Source organism: Homo sapiens, chromosome 1 (genome assembly GCF_000001405.40).
Source record: "Homo sapiens chromosome 1, GRCh38.p14 Primary Assembly".
In the NCBI taxonomy this organism is placed as follows: domain Eukaryota; kingdom Metazoa; phylum Chordata; class Mammalia; order Primates; family Hominidae; genus Homo; species Homo sapiens.
In genome coordinates, this window is record NC_000001.11 from 149,036,888 (window position 1) to 149,058,454 (window position 21,567).

Sequence of the window (21,567 nt, forward strand, 5' to 3'; positions counted from 1 at the left end):
GAGATTTTGGGCTGAGGTGATGGGGGGTTCTAGATATACAATCATGTCATCTGCAAACAGGGACAATTTGACTTCCTCTTTTCCTAATTGAGGAAAAGACTATTTCTTTCTCCTGCCTGATTGCCCTGGCCAGAACTTCCAACACTATGTTGAATAGGAGTGGTGGGAGAGGGCATCCCTGTCTTGTGCCAGTTTTCAAAGGGAATGCTTCCAGTTTTTGCCCATTCAGTATGATATTGGCTGTGGATTTGTCATAAATAGCTCTCATTATTTTTAGATACGTCCCATCAATACCTAATTTATTGAGAGTTTTTAGCATGAAGGGCTGTTGAATTTTGTCGAAGGCCTTTTCAGCCTCCATTGAAATACTCGTGGTTTTTGTCATTGGTTCTGTTTATATGCTGGATTACGTTTATTGATTTGTGTATGTTGAACCAGCCTTGCATCCCAGGGATGAAGCCCACTTGATCATGGTGGATAAGCTTTTTGATGTGTTGCTGGATTCGGTTTGCCAGTATTTTATTGAGGATTTTTGCATCGATGTTCATCAGGGATATTGGTCTAAAATTCTCCTTTTTTGTTTTGTCTCTGCCAGGCTTTGGTATCAGGATGATGCTGGCCTCATAAAATGAGTTAGGGAGGATTCTCTCTTTTTCTATTGATTGGAATAGTTTCAGAAGGAATGATATCAGCTCCTCCTTGTACCTCTGATAGAATTCGGCTGTGAATCCATCTGGTCCTGGACTTTTTTTGGTTGGTAAGCTATTAATTTTTGCCCGAATTTCAGAGCCTGTTATTGGTCTATTCAGAGATTCAGCTTCTTCCTGGTTTAGTCTTGCGAGGGTGTATGTGTCAAGGAATTTATCCATTTCTTCTAGATTTTCTTGTTTATTTGCAGAGAGGTGTTTATAGTATTCTCTGAAGGTAGTTTGTATTTCTGTGGGATCAGTGGTGATATCCCCTTTATCATTTTTTATTGTGTCTATGTGATTCTGCTCTCTTTTCTTCTTTATTAGTCTTGCTGGCAGTCTATAAATTTTGTTGATCTTTTCAAAAAACCAGCTCCTGGATTCATTGATTTTTTGAAGGGATTTTTGTGTCTCTATATCCTTCAGCTCTGCTCTGATCTTAGTTATTTCTTGCTTTCTGCTAGCTTTTGAATGTGTTTTCTCTTGCTTCTCTACTTCTTTTAATGGTGATGTTAGGGTGTCGATTTTAGATCTTTCGTGCTTTCTCTTGTGGGCATTTATTGCTATAAATTTCCCTCTACACACTACTTTAAATGTGTCCCAGAGATTCTGATTTGTTGTGTCTTTGTTCCCGTGGATTCCAAAGAACCTCTTTATTTCTGCCTTCATTTCATTATTTACCCAGTAGTCATTCAGGAGCAGGTTGTTCAGTTTCCACGTAGTTGAGTGGTTTTGAGTGAGTTTCTTAATCCTGAGTTCTAGTTTGATTGCACTGTAGTCTGACAGACAGTTTGTTATAATTTCTGTTCTTTTACATTTTCTGAGGAGTGCTTTTCTTCCAAGTATGTGGTCAATTTTGGAATAGGTGCAGTGTGGTGCTGAGAATAATGTATATTCTGTTGATTTGTGGTGGAGAGTTCTGTAGATGTCTATTAGGTCCACTTGGTACAGAGCTGAATTCAATTCCTGGATATCCTTGTTAACTTTCTGTCTTGTTGATCTGTCTAAAGTTGACAGTGGGGTGTTAAAGTCTCCCATTATTATTGTGTGGGAGTCTAAGCCTCTTTGTAGGTCTCTAAGGACTTGCATTATGAATCTGGGTGCTCCTGTATTGGGTACATATATATTTAGGATAGTTAGCTCTTCTTGTTGAATTGATCCCTTTACCATTATATAGTGGCCTTCTTTGTCTCTTTTGATCTTTGTTGGTTTAAAGTCTGTTTTTTCAGAGACTAGGATTGCAACCCCTGCCTTTTTTTGTTTTCCATTTGCTTGGTAGATCTTCCTCCATCCCTTTATTTTGAGCCTGTGTGTGTCTCTGCATGTGAGATGGTTTTCCTGAATGCAGCACACTGATGGGTCTTGACTCTTTATCCAATATGCCAGTCTGTGTCTTTTAATTGGAGCATTTAGCCCATTTACATTTAAGGTTAATATTGTTATGTGTGAATTTGATCCTGTCATTATGATGTTAGCTGGTTATTTTGTTCATTAGTTGATGCAGTTTCTTCCTAGCATCGATGGTCTTTACAATTTGGCATGTTTTTGCAGTGGCTGGTACTAGTTTTTCCTTTCCATATTTAGTGCTTCCTTCAGGAGCTCTTTTAGGGCAGGCCTGGTGGTGACAAAATTTCTCAGCATTTGCTTGTCTGTAAAGTATTTTATTTCTCCTTCACTTATGAAGCTTCATTTGGCTGGATATGAAATTCTGGGTTGAAAATTCTTTTCTTTACGAATGTCGAATATTAGCCCCCACTCCCTCCTGGCTTGTAGAGTTTCTGCCAAGAGATCAGCTGTTAGTCTGATGGGCTTCCCTTTGTGGGTATCCCGACCTTTCTCTCTGGCTGCCCTTAACATTTTTTCCTTCATTTCAACTTTGGTGAATCTGACAATTATGTGTCTTGGAGTTGCTCTTCTCGAGGAGTATCTTTGTGGTGTTCTCTGTATTTCCTGAATTTGAATGTTGGCCTGCCTTGCTAGGTTGGGGAAGTTCTCCTGGATAATATCCTGCAGAGTGTTTTCCAACTTGGTTCCATTCTCCCTGTCACTTTCAGGTACACCAATTAGACATAGATTTGGTCTTTTCACATAGTCCCATATTTCTTGGAGGCTTTGTTCATTTCTTTTTATTCTTTTTTCTCTAAACTTCTCTTCTCACTTCATTTCATTCATTTGATCTTGAATCACCAATACCCTTTCTTCCAGTTGATCGAATCGGCCACTGAAGCTTGTGCATTTATCATGTAGCTCTCATGCCATGGTTTTCAGCTCCACCTGGTCCTTTAAGGACTTCTCTGCATTGGTTATTCTAGTTAGTCGTTCATCTAATCTTTTTTCAAGGTTTTTAACTTCTTTGCAATGGGTTCGAACTTCCTCCTTTAGTTCGGAGTAGTTTGATATTCTGAAGCCTTCTTCTCTCAACTCATCAAAGTCATTCTCTGTCCAGCTTTGTTCCATTGCTGGTGCGGAGCTGCATTCCTTTGGAGGAGGAGAGGCACTCTGATTTTTAGAATTTTCAGTTTTTCTGTTCTTTTTTTCCCCCATCTTTGTGGTTTTATCTACCTGTAGTCTTTGATGATAGTGACATACAGATGGGGTTTTGGTGTGCATGTCCTTTCTGTCTGTTAGTTTTCCTTTTAACAGTCAGGACCCTCAGCTGCAGGTCTGTTGAAGTTTGCTGGAGGTCCACTCCAGACCCTGTTTGCCTGGGTATCAGCAGTGGAGGCTGCAGAACAGCAAATATTGCTGAACAGCAAATGTTTTTGTCTGATCGTTCCTCTGGAGGTTTTGTCTCAGAGGGGTACCCGGCCGTGTGAGGTGTCAGTCTGCCCCTACTGGGGGATGCCTCCCAGATAGGCTACTTGAGAGTCAGGGACCCACTTGAGGAGGCAGTCTGTCTGTTCTCAGATCTCAAACTCCATGCTGGGAGAGCCACTACTCTCTTCAAAGCTGTCAGACAGGGACATTTAAGTCTGCAGAGGTTTCTGCTGCCTTTTGTTTGGCTATGCCCTGCCCCCAGAGGTGGAGTCTACAGAGGCAGGCAGGCCTCCTTGAGCTGCAGTGGGCTCCACCCAGTTTGAACTTCCCTGCAGCTTTTTTTTCCTACTCAAGCCTCAGCAATGGCGGGCACCCCTCCCCAAGCCTTGCTGCCACCTTGCAGTTCGATCTCAGACTGCTGTGCTAGCAAGGAGTGAGGCTCCGTGGGTGTGTGACCCTCTGAGCCAGGCATGGGATATAATCTCCTAGCGTGCCGTTTGCTAAGAACATTGGAAAAGTGCTGTATTAGCATGGGAGTGACCCAATTTTCCAGGTGCCATCTGCCACAGCTTTGCTTGGCTATGAAAGGGAATTCCCTGACCCCTTGCACTTCCTGGGTGAGGCGATGCCTTGCCCTGCTTCAGCTCATGCTCGGTGAGCTGCACCCACTGTCCTGCACCCACTGTCTGACAAGCCCCAGTGAGAAGAACCCAGTACCTCAATTGGAAATGCAGAAATCACCCATCTTCCGCATCACTCATGCTGGGAGCTGTAGACTGGAGCTGTTCCTATTCAGCCATCTTGGAACAGCCCCTGGGTTTTGACTCTTTATCCAATTTGCCAGTCTGTGTTTTTTAATTGGGGAATTTATCCCATTTATGTTTCAGGTTAATATTGTTATGTGTGAATTTGATCTTGTCATTGTGATACTAGCTGGTTATTTCCCACCTTTTTTTCTTTTTTTTTGAGATGGAGTCTCGCTCTGTCACCCAGGCTGGAGTGCAGTGGTGTGATCTCGGCTCACTGCAAGCTCCACCTTCCAGGTTCACACCATTCTCCTGCCTCAGCCTCTTGAATAGCTGGGACTACAGGCACCCGCCACCATGCCCGGCTAGTTCTGTTTTTGTATTTTTAGTAGAGATGGGGTTTCACAGTGTTAGCCAGGGTGGTCTCAATCTCCTGACCTTGTGATCCGCCCGCCTCAGCCTCCCAAAGTTCTAGGATTACAGGCGTGAGCCACTGCTCCCGGCCTTATTTTACCTATTAATAGATGCAGTTTCTTCATAGCATAGATGGTCTTTACAATTTGGCATGTTTTTGCAGTGGCTGGTACTGGTTGTTCCTTTCCATGTTTAGTGCTTCCTTCAGGAGCTCTTGTAAGGCAGGTCTGGTGGTGACAAAGTCTCTCAGCATTTGCTTGTCTGTAACAGATTTTGTTTCTCCTTCACTTATGAAGCTTCATTTGGCTGGATATGAAATTCTGGATTGAAAATTCTTTTCTTTAAGAATGTTGAATATTGGTCCCCACTCTCTTCTGGCTTGTAGTGTTTCTGCCAAGAGGTCCGCTCTCAGTCTGATGGGCTTCCCTTTGTGGGTAACCCGACCTTTCTCTCTGGCTGCCCTTAATATTTTTTCCTTCATTTCAACCTTGGTGAATCTGACAATTATGTGTCTTGGGGTTGCTCTTCTCAATGAGTATCTTGTGGTGTTCTCTGTATGTCTTGAATTTGAATGTTGGCCTTCCTTGCTAGGATGGGGAAGTTCTCCTGAATAATATCGTGAAGAGTGTTTTCTAACTTGGTTCCATTCTCTCTGTCACTTTCAGGTACAGCTATCAAATGTAGATTTGGTCTTTTTACATAGTCCCATATTTATTGGAGTCTTTGTTCATTTCTTTTTACTCTTTTTCCTCTAATCTTGTCTTCTCACTTTATTTCATTAATTTGATCTTCAATCACTGATATCCTTTATTCCGCTTGATTGAATTGGCTATTGAATCTTGTTTATGCTTCATGAGGTTCTCATACTGTGGTTTTCAGCTCCTGCAGGTCACTTAAGCTCTTCTCTACACTGTTTATTCTAGTTAGCCATTCATCTAACCTTTTTTCAAGGTTTTCAGCTTCCTTGTGATGGGTTAGAACATGCTCCTTTAGCCCGGAGAAGTTTGTTATTACCGACCTTCTGAAGCCTGCTTCTGTCACCTCATCAAACTAATTCTCCATCCAGTTTTGTTCCCTTGCTGGTGAGGACTTGTGTTCCTTTGGAGGAGAAGAGGCGCTCTGGTTTTTGGAATTTTCAGCCTTTCTGCTCTGGTTTCTCCCCATCTTTGTGGTTTTATGTACTACTTTGGTCTTTGATGTTGGTGACCTACAGATGGGGTTTTAGTGTGGATGTCTTTTTGTTGATGTTGATGCTATTCCTTTCTGTTTGTTAATCCTTCTAACCAGGCAGGTCCCTCAGCTGCAGGTCTGTTGGAGTTTGCTGGAGGTCCACTCCAGACCCTGTTTGCCTGGGTGTCACCAGCAGAGGCTGCAGAATAGCAAATATTGCTGCCTGATCCTTCCTCTGGAAGCTTTGTCCCAGCGGGGCACCCACTTGTATGAGGTGTCTGTCGGCCCCTACTGGGAGGTGTCTCCCAGTTAGGCTACACGGTGGTCAGAGACCCACTTGAGGAGGCTGTCTGTCCATTATCAGAGCTCAAATGCCACGCTGGGAGAACTACTGCTGCCTTTAGGGCTGTCAGGCAGGGACATTTAAGTCTGCAGAAGCTGTCTGCTGCCTGTTATTCAGATATGCCCTGCCCCCAGAGGTGGAATCTAGAGGCAGTAGGCCTTGCTGAGCTGCAGTGGGCCCTGCCCAGTTCGAGCTTCCCTACCACTTTGTTTACACTGTGACCATGGAACCAAGTACTCGAGCCTCAGCAGTGGCAGAACCCCCTCTCCCTGCCATGCTCCAATGTCGCAGGTTGATCTCAGACTGCTGTGCTAGCAGCAAGCAAGGCTCCATGGGCATGGGACTTGCCGAGGCAGGCACAAGAGGGAATCTCCTGGTCTGTCAGTTGCAAAGACAGTGGAAAAAAGCACAGTATTTGAGCAGGAGTGTACTGCTCCTCCAGGTGCAGTCACTCACAGCTTCCCTTGGCTAGGAAAAAGAAATCCCCCAACCCCTTGCACTTCCCAGGTGAGGTGACACCCCACCCTGCTTTGGCTCATCCTCTATGGGCTGCACCCACTGTTCAACGAGTCCCAGTGAGATGAACCAGGTACCTCAGTTGGAAATGCAGAAATCACCTGTCTTCTGCGTCTATCTCACTTGAAGCTGTAGACCGGAGCTGTTCCTATTCAGCCATCTTGGAAGCAACCCTCTTTTTTTTTTTTTTTGTATTTTGGTAGAGACAGGGTTTCACCATATTGCCCAGACTGGTTTCAAACTCCTGAGGTCAAGCCATTCTATAAAAGAAAATTATATTTGTTTTATCTGAGTTCCTTCCTCAGGAAAGGACTCTCAGTCCTCTCAAAAAGCATCAGAGACCTGAAACTCAGCCAATCACAGCATCCAGACAATGAGATGCCAGTCCCCTCACTCATCACAAGTGCTTCCTCACCCCTCCCTAGTTTCTCTCTTCCCACACACAGTTACATTTCTTCTGTGCTATATAAACCCCTAACTTGAGTCAATCAGGGAGACAGATTTGAGACTCAACTCCTGTCTACTCAGCTGCAGCACCTGATTAAAGCCTTCTTCCTCAGCAATACTCAATGTCTCAATGATTGTCTTTCTGTGTGCTGAGAACACTGAAGCCCTGGGGTTTTGGTAAAAATACATGTACACTTTTAAAAACCGCAATTAATGGGTTGTGGTATATTGAGAAATTGGAGTGGCATCAACTTGGCCAATTCTGAGGAAACACACTGTGCTTAAGTGTGAGGGCCCTGCCTCCTGACCTCGACAGTTTATGGTTGATTTTGAGGCACAGCAGGGGAGTATGGCCTGGTTTGAGTGTTTTATAGAAATGTAAAACATGGCTGATTACTTTTTATTTTAAATCCAACAAATCTCCATTTCTGGTTAGAAAATCTTGCCAAAACCAACCAAACAAATGCATAGAAGTATATGAAGAAGGAAATGAAAGATTCCCTGCCTCCCAATCCCACTTGCTTGGTGTCAGCCATTATTTATCACATGGAGGAAGGGGGAAAGGCACCCAGGAAGTCCCAAGTCCTGTTCTCACAATCATCTGGCCTCCCTGGGCAAAGGGAAAAGAGGGAAGGCAAAAAGAATATAGCACTACGGTTTGCAGAAATTTCCCCTTGGTACAGGAAACTCTGGTAAACTGAGAGAGTATGTTTTCCATGAGGGAGGCCTCAAGGGCTCTTCTCTGGCCCTAAGCCCAAACTGGATTTTGCCTCATTTTCTGAGGTGCAAATGAAATGATAAAAGTTGATCAAAGGAGAGGGCAGAGAGAAAGAGGATGACTCCTCTCTCACAGGTCCACCTTCCTTGGTGTTGCTTGAGGGATCAGAAGAAATGCCTTAACATAGGTGTGTGGGAACTATGGCTGCTAAGTATGAACTCAGTTACCTCCAGTTATAAGCTAGTGTGAGGTTCCATGGTGTAATGGTGAGCACTTTGGACTCTGAATACAGTGATCAGAGTTCAAGTCTCACTGGGACCTTTCTGTATAATTCCAGTGAGGTTCCTCTCTATTGCTCTATAAGCAGAATGGGGGAAATTGCCCAATCATGGTCACAGACCCTCCATGCCACTGGCTGTGTGCAATTGGAGTCCCGGACCCAGCGACCAGCAAGACCCCTCCCCTCTCAGGGTGACCCTGGGCCTCCAGGTCACAGGTCTCCACTAAAAAGGCTGCCTCCCCTCAATCCTAGACCCCGAGTTTTCTTTTGTTCACATCATTGGGCCATTGCCCTACATCTCTTTGGAAGAAATGACCTATATGAAAAGCTTTACTTCTGGGATTCCCTAATTCCTTCATCCCTTAGGACAGTGCAGTTTTTCATCTCCTGATCTTGGGTCCAGTACTAAAGCGCGCGTTTGATTTTGTTTTCATGGGATCCCCTCCGACCAGCTACCAGTGGATTCCTGTCCTTGGGGTCTCTGTGGACGGCAACTAGATGCTGCTCTTGTCCCAAATCCTGACACCTCCCTCCAGCCAATTGCCTCCCTTAGCCTCCTAAATCAGCCAATATTTAGATTTGAGCCTGGAATCCCAGCATCTGTGGAGAATAGAGGTTCCTGATCCCTGGCCAGCCTCCCGCAGTGAAGGGGAGAGGAGCAGAGCAGCTGGGAGGGGCAAGTCCAGGGCCCTGGGCAACCGCCTTCTTCCTGCCCAGACTCTGCTCCAAGGAGCAGTTGCCTTAGGACCAGATCAGATGGACACTCTTGTTCTCTTCTCATCAGCAGAAAAATTTAGGCAAGAGCTCTGGAGGACCTTCCTAGCTCATAAAAATGCTGTGGTCAAGTCTCTCCAGTTTTGGAAATGTCCAAGGTTACCAAGTGTTTTGAGGGCTCACTTTGGAGCCTCTGAAAAGGAGGGGTCAGGGCCCATGGAAGGTACCTGAGGGATTCAGGAGAGAGAGGGGAAAGAGCAGACAGGAGGGAGGAGAGAAGGAGGGAGGGGGAGAAAGGGTGTGTGAGGGCCAGGAGCCAGGATTCACCCTGACAGTTCAGTGACTGCTCCCTGACCCCAAAGTTCCCACTGTGGCACCTTCCAGCAGGTGGTTCCCATCTCTTATTGATGTCCTGAGAACTTGGCTCTGCAGAATGGTCCCACCCTATTTGTCTGGCATGAGTCCTGCAAAGTTTCTTTTCATCGTTTGGGGGATGAGATGGGGGTATATAGGTTTGCAAGTGACTAGGAGCTAAGTCAGGACCTTGTGGAGCCACTCAGAGTTAACTGTCAAGTAGCCTCCTTTCCCCCTTCCCTAGCAGGACGATTGCCTGCAAGACAGGGCCTGGAGGAGGCCAGGGCACCCAAGGCCACAGAAATGCCCAGGGATGAGTCCCAGCTGGAGATGCCTTGGCTAAGCTGACTGTGCACTTCCAGGGCTCACAGGGGTCTGGCCAGGAGACTGAGCAAGGGGACCAGGGAGGTTGTGCAGAGGCTTCTGCACAGCAAGGCAGACATTCTTCTTGGAGCCCCCAACCCAAATCAGGTCTTCCACCTCCTCTTCCTAAAGACCCTTTACTGCTGTCGTTCTTTTACTGAACTACAAGTTTAGAGGACATGGATTTCAGTGCCCTCATCTGGCCAACCATCTTCAGCTGCCAATGGACAAGGTAACCTCCCTCCCTGCCAAGACCTGACTCAGGACCTTTCCTTAAGGAGATGTCCTGTTCTTTCTTTCCCACCAGAACTGCCCTGGCCCAGACCCCATTTCTGTCTGGTGACCAGGACAGTCCCCTCACCAGTCTCCCAGGTTGGGGAGGGCAGATTCTCCTCAGCTCCCTGCCCCTGAGAGACCCCAACCGTCTTGTGTGGCTCCGGCCCACAGAGTGATATCCATGGCCCATATCTCTCAAAACTCTCCCCTCCCACTCTGAATCCACCCTCTACTGCATGCTCCCCTCACAGAACAGACTAATTTTTGTGTGTGTGTCCTTGTTTTGCCTACCTGTACCCCAGATAGACTTTTCTGTCTTAGAACTACCTGTCCCTCTTTGGACAGTGTCTTCCTGGTACTGCACATGAAGATGTCCCGCTCTCCCCTGCTCAAGGAGAGAGTGCCTGACCTGAGCTGGGCCCATCAGATCCAGTACTTACCTGGAATAGGAAAACGATGGGGAGGGTGACCAAAGATTGCAAAAATCTTTGAAGCTTATCTACTTGAGAGAGAGTCCCTGAAGATACTGGCCTCTCATTCCTGCTATGTATATCCAATGTGACTGAACTCTGAATAAAATATACAAGTTATAACAATGTAGCAATTGACCCAGCAAATGAGGACACAAACGTGTTGGAGGGTAAGGTGGTGAGAGGCGTGTTTGGGGGTGGTGGTGATGAGCAAGTATGTGAAGGAGAGGTAGTGCCTAAACTTGAAAATCAAAAAGTAATAATATCTATTTAGACATAAGGAGATAAATAACGAAATAATTGCTTCTATGTGATGAAACTCTGGGAGTACACAAGGGGACTGCTACTTTACTAAACAAATTTTCAAGTATATATAACTTTGATAAGGTATCCAAATAAAATAATTCCTTTCCCATATAAGTATGTGTATATATGTATTCATTGTATTTTGAAGATAAATTTTTACACAGTCATGTTAATCGCTTTCATTTAAGGATTTGAGTTTGAGGTCTTGCATACAATGTGATCCCACTGTATGACTACACAAATGTTGGCAAAAGTGAGTTCAGAGGAAGTGGTAGGCAAGTACTTCCCAGTTTTGGCCAGAAGATGGAGAAAAAAATAATTCTCAAAAAATGTTAAAAGTATGACATGTTATATCTTCTTTTCACAGTAATTTAGACAGAAATTAGCAAAATCAAACATGTATAAATACTTTGGTCTGACAATTCCATCTCCAGGTGTCTACGGAGAAATAAACAAGTGATGCACGACAGATACATGTGTCAGTCTGGTCCCTGCAGTTGTATTTGTAATAATACACATTGGAGCAATTTCATGGCCATCAGTTAGAGAATGTTTGAGGAATGATCCATTCATATCAAGAAGGACATTTCAAAGATCAAAGCCTGATGGAAATGCTGGAGACCATGGAGCTGATAGGAGCTCATGCGTGTTGACCAATTACTACGTGACAGGCATTGGCTCCACGCTTTTCCTGCACTGCTCATTTAAACACTGGACAACCTAAGTGTTCTGATTTAGCCCATTGGACAGATAGAAATGGAGGCACAGAAGATTCATGTGTTTAACTTCAAACCCTGGCAGATTAGGTTTTTCATCCAGAGCCTGTGGCTTCACCATAGCTGTGATTCACGTTCTGTCATTCTCCACTTTAGGAATTTCCAGTATTCCAAATATGAGAAGCTGAGAAAACAAACAACAAACTCAAAACCCTAAAAACCAGGATACGTAAGGGTAGATGTTTGTTGGGTGTGGATTAAAAATGGACTTTTTTTGCCCCAAGCAACAAAGAGGCACCTTAGAAAATAGACAAGAGACAAGAGGAAGAGAAGCTTTAAGAGATATTTGGTCCAAGGAAGAGACTCTTCAGATGGAAGGTCACGTCAGCTAGAAACATTAATATGACTGGATGGGCTCAAACCACTGACTTTTCAGTCAACATCCGACAGCACTAACCCAGTGTTCCAGAGACACTGCTTGTTAAACAGTGAAAGCTGTTGCTCAATTGTGTCATCCGTAATTGTCAAATATTGCCATTTAGTAGCACAAGGAAGTATTCTCTGTTGCCAAGCTAGAGTACCCATAACTCTTCTGTTTTGTTGAACATTCTTCCCCACCACAAACCCTCTTTAGAAGACTGGGGGCTCCTAAAGCATTGAGGCCGAGAGTCCCGTCCTTGTGCATGTTTGGGCATTGACCCAGGGCCAAGTCAGTGGGAGACTCCTCCACGCCTACGCCAGGTCCCCAGGTGACAACTGCAGTCTCTGGATCTGAAGTCATCCACTTTCCCATTCCTAGCTCACCTCACCCATCGTGAAGCCTGGTTAGTATTGCCAGAGACCCGAGTGGGCAGATGCCCACACCAAAGACAGAACCTGCTGCGTGCCCACCTTGCTGATCCCTCCCTCCTTCTAGACAAAGGCTTCATAAGCCAGGGACCTTGGGTTTGCTCACAAGGCAGCCCCTCACCTAGTAGGCATTAGTTCATTATGTATATGTATATGTAGTCCTCAGGTTGTATTCCTTAAATATATATAATTTAAGGATATGTATTATATATATATAAATATATATGTAATTCCTTAAATATATAATTTTAATACAATTTTTTTTTTGAGATGGAGTCTCACTCTGTCGCCCAGGCTGGAGTGCAGTGGCACCATCTTGGCTCACTGCAAGCTCCACCTCCCAGGTTCACGCCATTCTCCTGCCTCAGCCTTCCAAGTACCTGGGACTACAGGCGCCCGCCATCACGCCAGGCTAATTTTTTTTTTTGTATTTTTAGTAGAAATGGGGTTTCACCATGATAGCCAGGATGGTCTCGATCTTCTGACCTCATGATCCACCCACCTCGGCCTCCCAAAGTGCTAGGATTACAGGCGTGGACCACCGCGCCTGGCCAAAACAAAGTTTTTAAAAGATTCCTTTAATAAACATTTACAATAACATCAAGAAATATAAACGACATAGCAAATATGTGAAAGCCAGCCAGACTCTCAATGGCATCCAGAAACATAAACTACATAGAAAAGACATGAAAGCCAGCCAGGCTTGGCTTCGAATCCCAGCACTTTGGAAGGCTGTGGCAGGAGGGTTGCTTGATCTCAGAAGCTTGAAACTAGCCTAGGCAACATAGTGAGCCCTCATCTCTACTGAAAATCAGAAAAATTACCCGGGTTTGGTGGTGTGAGCCTGTAGTCCCAGGAATCAGTGGATGAGGCCCTAGGATGTCATAGGCCTGAGAATTCCATGCTGCAGTGAGCTGTGATTGTGCCACTGTACTCCAGCCTGGGTGAAAGAGTGAGATCCTGTGCAGAAACAAAAGAAGAAAAAAAGAGATGTGAAAGCCTATATATTGAAGACTACCAAGTACTGCTTAGAGCAGTTAAAGACCTTTGGAATAGAAAATGTTTCTTCTTGCATTTCAAGATTGCTTTTGTTTTGGGGGGACACACTATTTTTTAGGAATATGAAGTTCTTCTTAGGCATTCCTGTAAAAAAGGCCACTTCTTGATAGGATTGTATTGAATCTGTGGGTTGCTTTGAGTTGTATTTTTATCTTAACCATGTTACAACTTCCAACCCATGGACACAAGATGTCTGTCCATTGATTTAGGTCTTCCTGAATCTCCTCGAGCAATGTTCTGTAGTTGTCTGTGTACAAGTACTGCACCTTCTTGAACAAATTTATTCCCAGGCATATTATTCTTACAAGTGCTATTATAAATGAAATCATTGTGTCAATTTTCTTCTCAGATTGTTCATTGCTAACACAACTGATTGTTTACTGAAAGTTTGCTGAATTCACTTATTAACTCTAGTAGTGTGTGTATGTGAGTGTGTGTGTGTGTGTGTGTGTGTCTGGCCTCTGTGTGCATGTATGTGTGTTTGCATCTGTAGGTATTATTTGGGATTTTCTATGCATAGGATCACACCATCTGCAAATTGAGATCATTTTGTTTTCTGTTCAAAAATACTTTTTCTCATGTTTATTTTTAAAAGATAATTTGGCCAGGTGTAGAATTGTAGGTGACAGTTTTTCTTTTTTTAAGTTCTTTATTGCAAACTTCTTGTTTGTATGAGAAATCTTATGCCATCCTTATATTTAGTGCTCTGTATGTAACATGTTCTTTCCCTTTTTATTCCTTTTAGGATTTCCTTTTTATCACTGGTTTTGATGGATTTGATTAAGGCGTTCCTTGGTGAAGTTTTCTTCATGTTTCTTGTTCTTAGAATAATCATATTTCTGTAATATTTGAAGTTTATGGTTTCCATGGAGCTTCTAAATCTTTCATCCAGTATGTTTTAAATATCTTTGTCTCTCTTCTCCACTACACGCCCTTCAGGGATTCCATTTAGCCCTATACTGGGGGGTTTAAAGTTTTGATGCCGATGGTGTTTTTATGTTTTCAAGTCATTTGTTACTGTGTGTTTCATTTATGTTAGTTTCAACTTCTATTCCTTCTAGTTCAATAATCTTCTCTTCTGCAATGTTTAATCCACTGCCTTCTTCCATTTCAGACTGTAAATCATACTTTTTATCTACAGAATTTGATATTTAAAAAATCTTCAACCTCCCCATTTAATTAAAATACAATTATACTAACTGCTCTAATGTCCTTTTCTTCTATGTCCAACATGTCTGTCAATTTCAACTAGATTATTAGATTCTTCATTATGTGTCATGTTTTCCTGCTTCTTTGGCTGCTTGATATTCTTTTATTTTTTTTTTTTTTTTTTTTTGCGGGGGGATAGAGTTTTGCTCTCGTTGCCCAGGCTGGAGTGCAATGGTGTGATCTCAGCTCACTGCAACCTCCACCTCCCAGGTACACAAGCGATTCTCCTGTCTCAGCCTCCCAAGTAGCTCAGATTACAGGCATGCACCATCATACCTGGCTAATTTTTTTGTATTTAGTAGAGATGGGGTTTCACCATGTTAGTCAGGCTGGTCGTGAACTCCTGACCTCAGGTGATCCATCTGGCTGCTTGATATTCTAAGATTTGATGCTGGAACTTTGGTGTCAATGCTCAAAATGCCCAAAGACACCACTCAACCTCAGTGTCTATGCACACCCAAGCTTTTGCAGCAGGACAGGTAGAGCAGAGATGAGTGTGCTACAACATGCTGGTAGAGGGTACCCCCAATTGTGCTTGGGGATTTCCTATTCCTCATGGAAAAATGTGTCTTCCTTAATTTTTCCCATAAGAACCACCCTACTTCATGCCCTGTCTCTCTGTCCAAACACCAGGACAGTCCTCTCACCAGTCTCAACCACCCAATGGATTGACAAAGGTGCAAATATGATTCAGTGGAGAAGGCATTCTCTTGTCAACAAATTGTGTAGAAACAACTTTTTTTTACACAATTTGTTTTTTTTATCCCCAAAGGAAAAAAATTCACCTGAACCTCAATACTAACTCAAAAACTAACTCAAAATGGATTATGCAACTAAATATAAACTATAAAACTAGAAAAAGTATAGCAGAAAATATAAGACAAAATCTTCATGACACAGAGTTAGGTAAAGTGTTCTTTATTATCAATAAACACAAACCATTAAAGAAAACATTGATAAATTCGACTTTATGAAAATTAAAAGTTTTTGCTCAACAGTACTAAGAGAACAAATATAAGCTGCAGTTTGGGAGAAAAACAGTGGAAATCACCAATATGACAAAGGGCATGTGTGATAGTTACTTGTACTTGTCACTGTGACCGAGCACCAGGGTGCCAGGACATTTGGCCAAACATGATTCTGGTTGTGTTCCAGAGAGTCTTTCAGATACGATTAACATTGGGATGGGCAGACTAAGTGAAGCAGATTGCCCTCCTTAATAGGGGTGGGCCTCATGCAATCCATCAAGGGCCAGGAGAGAATTAAGAGGCCTAATGGGAAACAAATGCTTTCCTGGGTATCCAGCTTTCCTTCCATCTTGGGAATTTCAGCCTCCATAATCTCAGAAGCAAATTCATGTATATATATACACACACATATACATTTCATAGGTATGTGGCTAAGATTGTATTTTTACAAGTTCAGCCATGAGATTGGTGAAGCCAGCCAATGAATAAGGGTGTGTTCTATTATACGATTCAGTCTTCTTTTGTAAACGATTGAAGTTCTGCATTTGAAGTAGGAGGATAGGAGGGAGCAAGTCCACCTAGGATGATAACAGCTGAATTTCTCAACATACACTTCAGAGCTGTAGGGGTCAAGTTAGAGACTCAAAAATCTCACCCATAATCCTGCCCTAAACACCAGGGCTAGGGAACACTGTGGCCCTCAGGTGATTTTCTTTAGCCAGGTCTGGGAGCCACACGACGGCAGAGGGAGCAGGAAACACTATGCAAATAGAGGCCAGGACAGCAGGGAGGGCCTGTTCATGATAGAACCCAGGCAAAACTCTCCTCAGAAAGCGAGTGTGGAGAAACATAGATCATGCCTGAGACCTGGTGGATTAGAGCACTGGCTACTGGGGAATTGAAAGGAAGGGGCTTCACCGTGCAGAGGACCAGAGGTGCCAATCTTGGAAATGCAGAATTGCTGGGAGATGGGGAGGCACGGACCATGGAAGTATCCTCTGGAGACTCATGGTGAAGAGAACAAATGAATGAAGTAACTGGCAGAAATTAGAGGTCCTGGTAGAACAAAATAGAATCCCACAATGAGAACATACACCATGTATGTCCCCCAAGGAAGACAATATCTCCTAAAAACTCCAGAAAAATCATTTTGGGCAAGCACCTTATATCTAGTAATGCGATCCATGTATCGAGACCGTGAGAAAAGATTATTAAACATGCTAAACTCAGCGAGACCTGATTCCCTCATGAGGACTCTGTTAAGGATGAGTACCACTCAGCAAGTGACGACTGTGACATTCACTTTTGAATAGCTCATGAGCGTTAATATATTTCATTGTGGATCTAAACCAAAAACCAAGGTAGGGGCAAGATGATAATCACAGAATGTCACCGGTATATGTTTAGGTTCAAATACTATTATGAGAAGTGGCAGGTAAAGGAGGTAGGAAAAAGAAAACACATCATGTAATTGACTGTTGTATGGAAATATTTGATGCTGAAAGTTATAATTTAAAACTATAAACCAAATATTAGAAGTGTGTCTAGTCCAAAGGGAGGAAAACCATCAAAAACATTTTTAGTGCAATATTTAACATGAGCTATACAACCCTTCCTAAATGCCAAAGGCACACACAGACACACACACAGACACACACACACAGACACACACACACTCACACTCACGAAGAATACAAATGACTAGAACCAAGAAATGTAAATACATTCTGCTACATATGGTAAACATAGCCTACAATGTGGAAGAGATTAGAAAATAAACATGGAAATGAAATGTTTTTATTAATTCGCATCAGTACCCACCAAAACCAATCAGCATAATCAAATATTATAACACTGAATGTAAAAAACAATCCAAAAGTCCAGAGTGATAGGCAAAAGGTTTTAATTGTATAGATTAAAATTAACTTTGGACAAAAATTAAAACTCAGGCAGAGAATGTTTTCTTCTTTTTGCAACAGCAGACACTAGTAAAAACAAAGGCACAGTAAAAATTGAGACCCAAAATTTCCAGCGTAGAGATATGAATATAATAATAGACACAGGCAGGGAGGATTAATAAATGATAAAATGTTTAGAGGATGATCATTAGAATACAGGATATTTATACTCTTGAAAACCGCTTTCCCAAGTACTTCATTATAAGTAAGGTGTCTCTAAAAGGGACAGATCTCCTAGACCCCTCCTTAACCAAGTAACCAGTCCTGATATCATAATGGTGATGGACAAACTAGACCTTCTCTGCCCGCAGATGGGCTGAGGTTGGAAACTCACAGCATTGTCTCTGCAGTGTTCCCGGCAAAACGTTTAGGCTGAATTTAATCATGAAGACATTTTCAGACAACTTCAGAATGTAGATCATTGAGCCAGACAGCTGACCTGTCCTCTATAAACAAGTCCATGTCACCACCATCCATGACAACAACAAAAAGATGAGGAAATATTTGGGGTTCAAAATAACTAAAGAAATGCAGCTACATTATCTTTTTACTTTTTTTGAACCCAAAATATCTCTTCTCCTTTTTGTTGTGTGATTTGTGGTGATAAGGACTATGTGAAGGAGACAGGTCAGTTGTCCTGCTCAGTGTTCTACATTCTGCAGTTGTCTGGTGATTACCTCCTATGAAACTCAGGCTAAGCGTTTTCTGCAAGAACATGGCATTGTTCATATTCTGCACCGGCAGAGTCCTGGGTGACATGCTGTCTCCTGCCAGCGGCTCCTGACTCCTGTTCTCTACAGGATGGAATTGAGAGGAGCAGGGCTAAGGCCTCCCAATGCTGTTTGTCCATCTAGCTGTGGTCTTCCTAAGTACTGACACCAATTGGAGGCTGAAGGACTGTGGCTTCTCTAACCAAAGGAGCCTAGCGGGTTAACAATTGTCAAGAGCAGTTGGTGGTTCTGAAATACAATCCTCAGCCAAGGATCCCTCCTGTGTTACAGATGGATCAGCTAAAACAAGCCAACACTGAAGACACGAAGAATGAGGTTAGGTTCATTGAAACCAGGGTAACACCTTTGGATGAGCTAAACACAAAGATGACAATGACCTTGAGCAGGTATAGAAGCTCAGAGACATGTCTGCAAAATGAAATCCCTGAGGAATTTTGTAGCTACCCAGAGATACGTGGTTCAAATTAAAATGTCTGACTGATCACTCCCGGCATGTGCTGCACAGTTATGTGAACGTGTCACACCTAACGTGGGTCCATTGTCTTCAGACTGAGCACAGGTTGCCACTGGCATGGTTTGAGAATAGGAATAGAGCCATGCCCACTGACCCATCCTATGTCTGGGCTTCCAAATGGAACTGTACTTTCATTCAAAACTTCACGTGCCTATAGGTCCTGCCTGCAGGAATGACATCTCTCGGCTTAGTAAGGGCTGCTTATTGTGGGAATATGACTTCCATCTGGAACACCAGGTGGAGACTTGTCACCGTCAAAGTAAAAAACCTATTGTCCACGTAAAGGGCGAAGCTGATGTGCTGTTCCTCAAATGAGTAAAACACACTTCTGTAGTGCTGGAATGAGTCAGGTAGTTCAAAGTACATTGACGGAGTAGAATAACATCCATCCAGTGAGTCCTGCAAGACTTCAGGCTCTTCCACTTCCATCAGCACGCCGTTGAGCCTGGAAAAGGAGACAAAACTAAAGAAGCAGCCAGGGAAAATCAGACACCACAGAGCCCCACTAGATTTCAGAAGTAACATAAGGAAGTGGTTAGAAAAGAAAAAGGATAGATCCATTAATGAGGTAAAAAAAAAAATTTATTGCCTTTATGTTGGGATAGAACAGGGCCAGGTAGAAAACAATGAAAGAGAAAGACAGAGAGAGAAAGACAGAGACAGAGACAGAGAGAAAGTGAGCTAGTGAATTGGCCAGGTGACATACTGGTAAGGGAGTAAAAGGACACTCTGAGTTAGTGCCCTCATGACACACAGCAAACTGTGATCATGAAAAGAGTGAGCTCAATAGTTTTCCATAAAATATGCTCAAAATTCGATGCAGTGGCCATGAGAGTACAGCTTTTGAAGTATGGTCAACCTATGGTACGTTAGGAAATGATAAGGGGAGGAAGAAATGGAAACCTAAACATCTACTGCAATGAAAACCAACAGCAATGACAGTAGGAGTAATTCAGCCTTCGTTGAAAACATGACATCAAACACACTCTGGTTTCCCTGAATCTGTTGCCTCCAGGTGTTAACACAGAATTAAGCATCCACAATTGCTGAAAGTCACCTGGGGCATGGTGGGTTTTGATCTTCTTCCCCTTCTTTTCTTCCCCTTCTTCTTTCCTTCTTTGATCTTCTTCCCCTTCTTTTCTTCCCCTTCCCCTTCTTTTCAATTTCTGCAATAAATTCAGACATGGACAGACACATTAAGCTGATTCCCCTACACACATAACAATCCACTGTCTAATCCTCACACAGGGACCTCAGGCTCCTCAGCATAAGAATAGGACACTGTGAGAGATATATTTCAGGAGGCCTGAAGGCTGGTCATGATAGAAATTCCTCGGTTTTTCTCCCAGAAACTGTGGGTAAAATGTCCCTATTCTAGTAGATCGTTATCCCAATATCATTTGTCCCAAGTTTGTGCAAACAGTTACGCCATATTTTTCCAATCAACTTAAAGCAAATACCCTCAAATGATTTCTAGGAGAAAAACTGCAATATTTAGCCCTGTCTCATCAAATACTCAGATTGTTCATGGTTGTGAGGACTTTAGACACTGAAATTAGAGTGAAAAAGGAAATCTACAAACCCTTGAGTCAAAATCATAGTTCTCTGAATTTGTCACATCTGCCCAGGTCCAATGTCATGAGAATAGGATCAGGGTGCCACAGGTATGGCCTGAGACTAGGAAGAGAGTCTTGCTCACTGACCCATCCCTTGTCTGGGCTTCCAGGTAGAACTAGAGTTTCATTCAACCTACATGTGCCTATAGGTCCTCCCTGTGGCAATGACATCTCTCAGCTCAGTAATGGCCACTTGGAGCAGGAATATGATCTTTATATGGAAGACTCAGTGGATCCTTATCACCTTCATAGAAAGGTACTCACCTCCCACGTCAAGAGAAAAGCCAACATGTTTTTCCTCCAATGCATAAAAGGAACTTCCATAGGGCTGGCAGGAGTCAGGCTGTTCAAGACAACTGGAAGGAGTTGAATAACATCTATCCAGTGAGTCCTGCAAGACTTCAGGCTCTACTACCTCCAGCAGCTCCCTGCTGAGCCTGGAAAAGGAGGAAAAAGTAAAGAATAAGCCAGGGGAAATCAGACACAACAGAGCCCCAACTAGGTTTCATGGGTAGCATAGGGAAGTGGTTAAAAAACTAAAAGGATAGATCCATTAATGAGGTAACAAATTATTGCCTTCATGTTGGGACAGAACAGGGCCAAATGGAAAAGAATGAAAGAGAAAGACAGATAGACACACACACACACACACACACACACACACACACACACACACACACACAGAGAGAGAGAGAGAGAGAGAGAACGAGCTCAGTGAATTGTCCAGGTGACACACTGATGAGGGAGTAACAGGACACTCTGAGTTAGTGCCCTCAGGACACACAGCATACAGGGATCATGAAAAGACTGTGCTCAATAATTTTCCATAAAATGTGCTCAAGTTTCCATGCAGTCGCCATGAGAATACAGTTTTTGAAGTCTGGTCCACCTACAGTAGGTTAGTAAATGATAAGGGGAGGAAGAAATGGAAACCTAAATATCTACTGCAATGAAAACCAACAGCAATGTTAGTAGGAATAATTCAGGCTTGCTTGAAAAGATGTAATCGATAATGTCAGCCCGCTCTGTTTTCCCTGAACCAGGAGTCTCCAGATGTCAACACAGAAGTAGATGTTCACAATTGCTCAGTTACCTGGGGCATGGTGGGCCTTGGTCTTCTTCCTCTTCTTGGTCCTTTTTAATTCCTGCAATACATTCAGACAGGGACAGACAAAATAAGCCAATTCACCTACACCCATAACAGTCCACTGTCTAATCCCCACACAGGGATCTCAGGCTCCTCAGCATGAGAACAGGACAATGTGACAGATATACTTCAGGAGGCCTGAAAGCTGGTCATGATATTCTTTGGTTTGCATCTCAGAACCAAGGGTGAAATATCCCCATTCTGGTAGATCGTTATCCCAAAATCATTTATCCCAAG

At 43.3% G+C, this 21,567-nt stretch overlaps 1 protein-coding gene across 21 annotated transcripts in view; it reads right to left on the bottom strand.

Annotated features, from left to right (window-relative positions):
- Positions 1–15,298: 15,298 nt before the first annotated feature.
- NBPF9 (NBPF member 9) overlaps positions 15,299–21,567 on the bottom strand; it is a 51,366-nt gene continuing 45,097 nt past the window's right edge. For 13 of the 21 annotated variants that reach the window (NM_001388374.1, NM_001388377.1, NM_001388375.1 and 10 more), the window contains 2 exons: positions 19,625–19,733; positions 15,299–19,012 (listed from right to left, as the gene is read on the bottom strand). In NM_001388374.1, coding sequence (NP_001375303.1) covers positions 18,769–19,012; positions 19,625–19,733 — 353 coding nt within the window. In that variant the 3' untranslated portion in view covers positions 15,299–18,768. Of the gene's footprint in view, positions 19,013–19,624; positions 19,734–20,447; positions 20,621–21,276; positions 21,329–21,567 lie in introns of all 21 variants that reach the window. The other 8 variants (NM_001388367.1, NM_001388369.1, NM_001277444.2 and 5 more) reach the window with 1 other exon arrangement.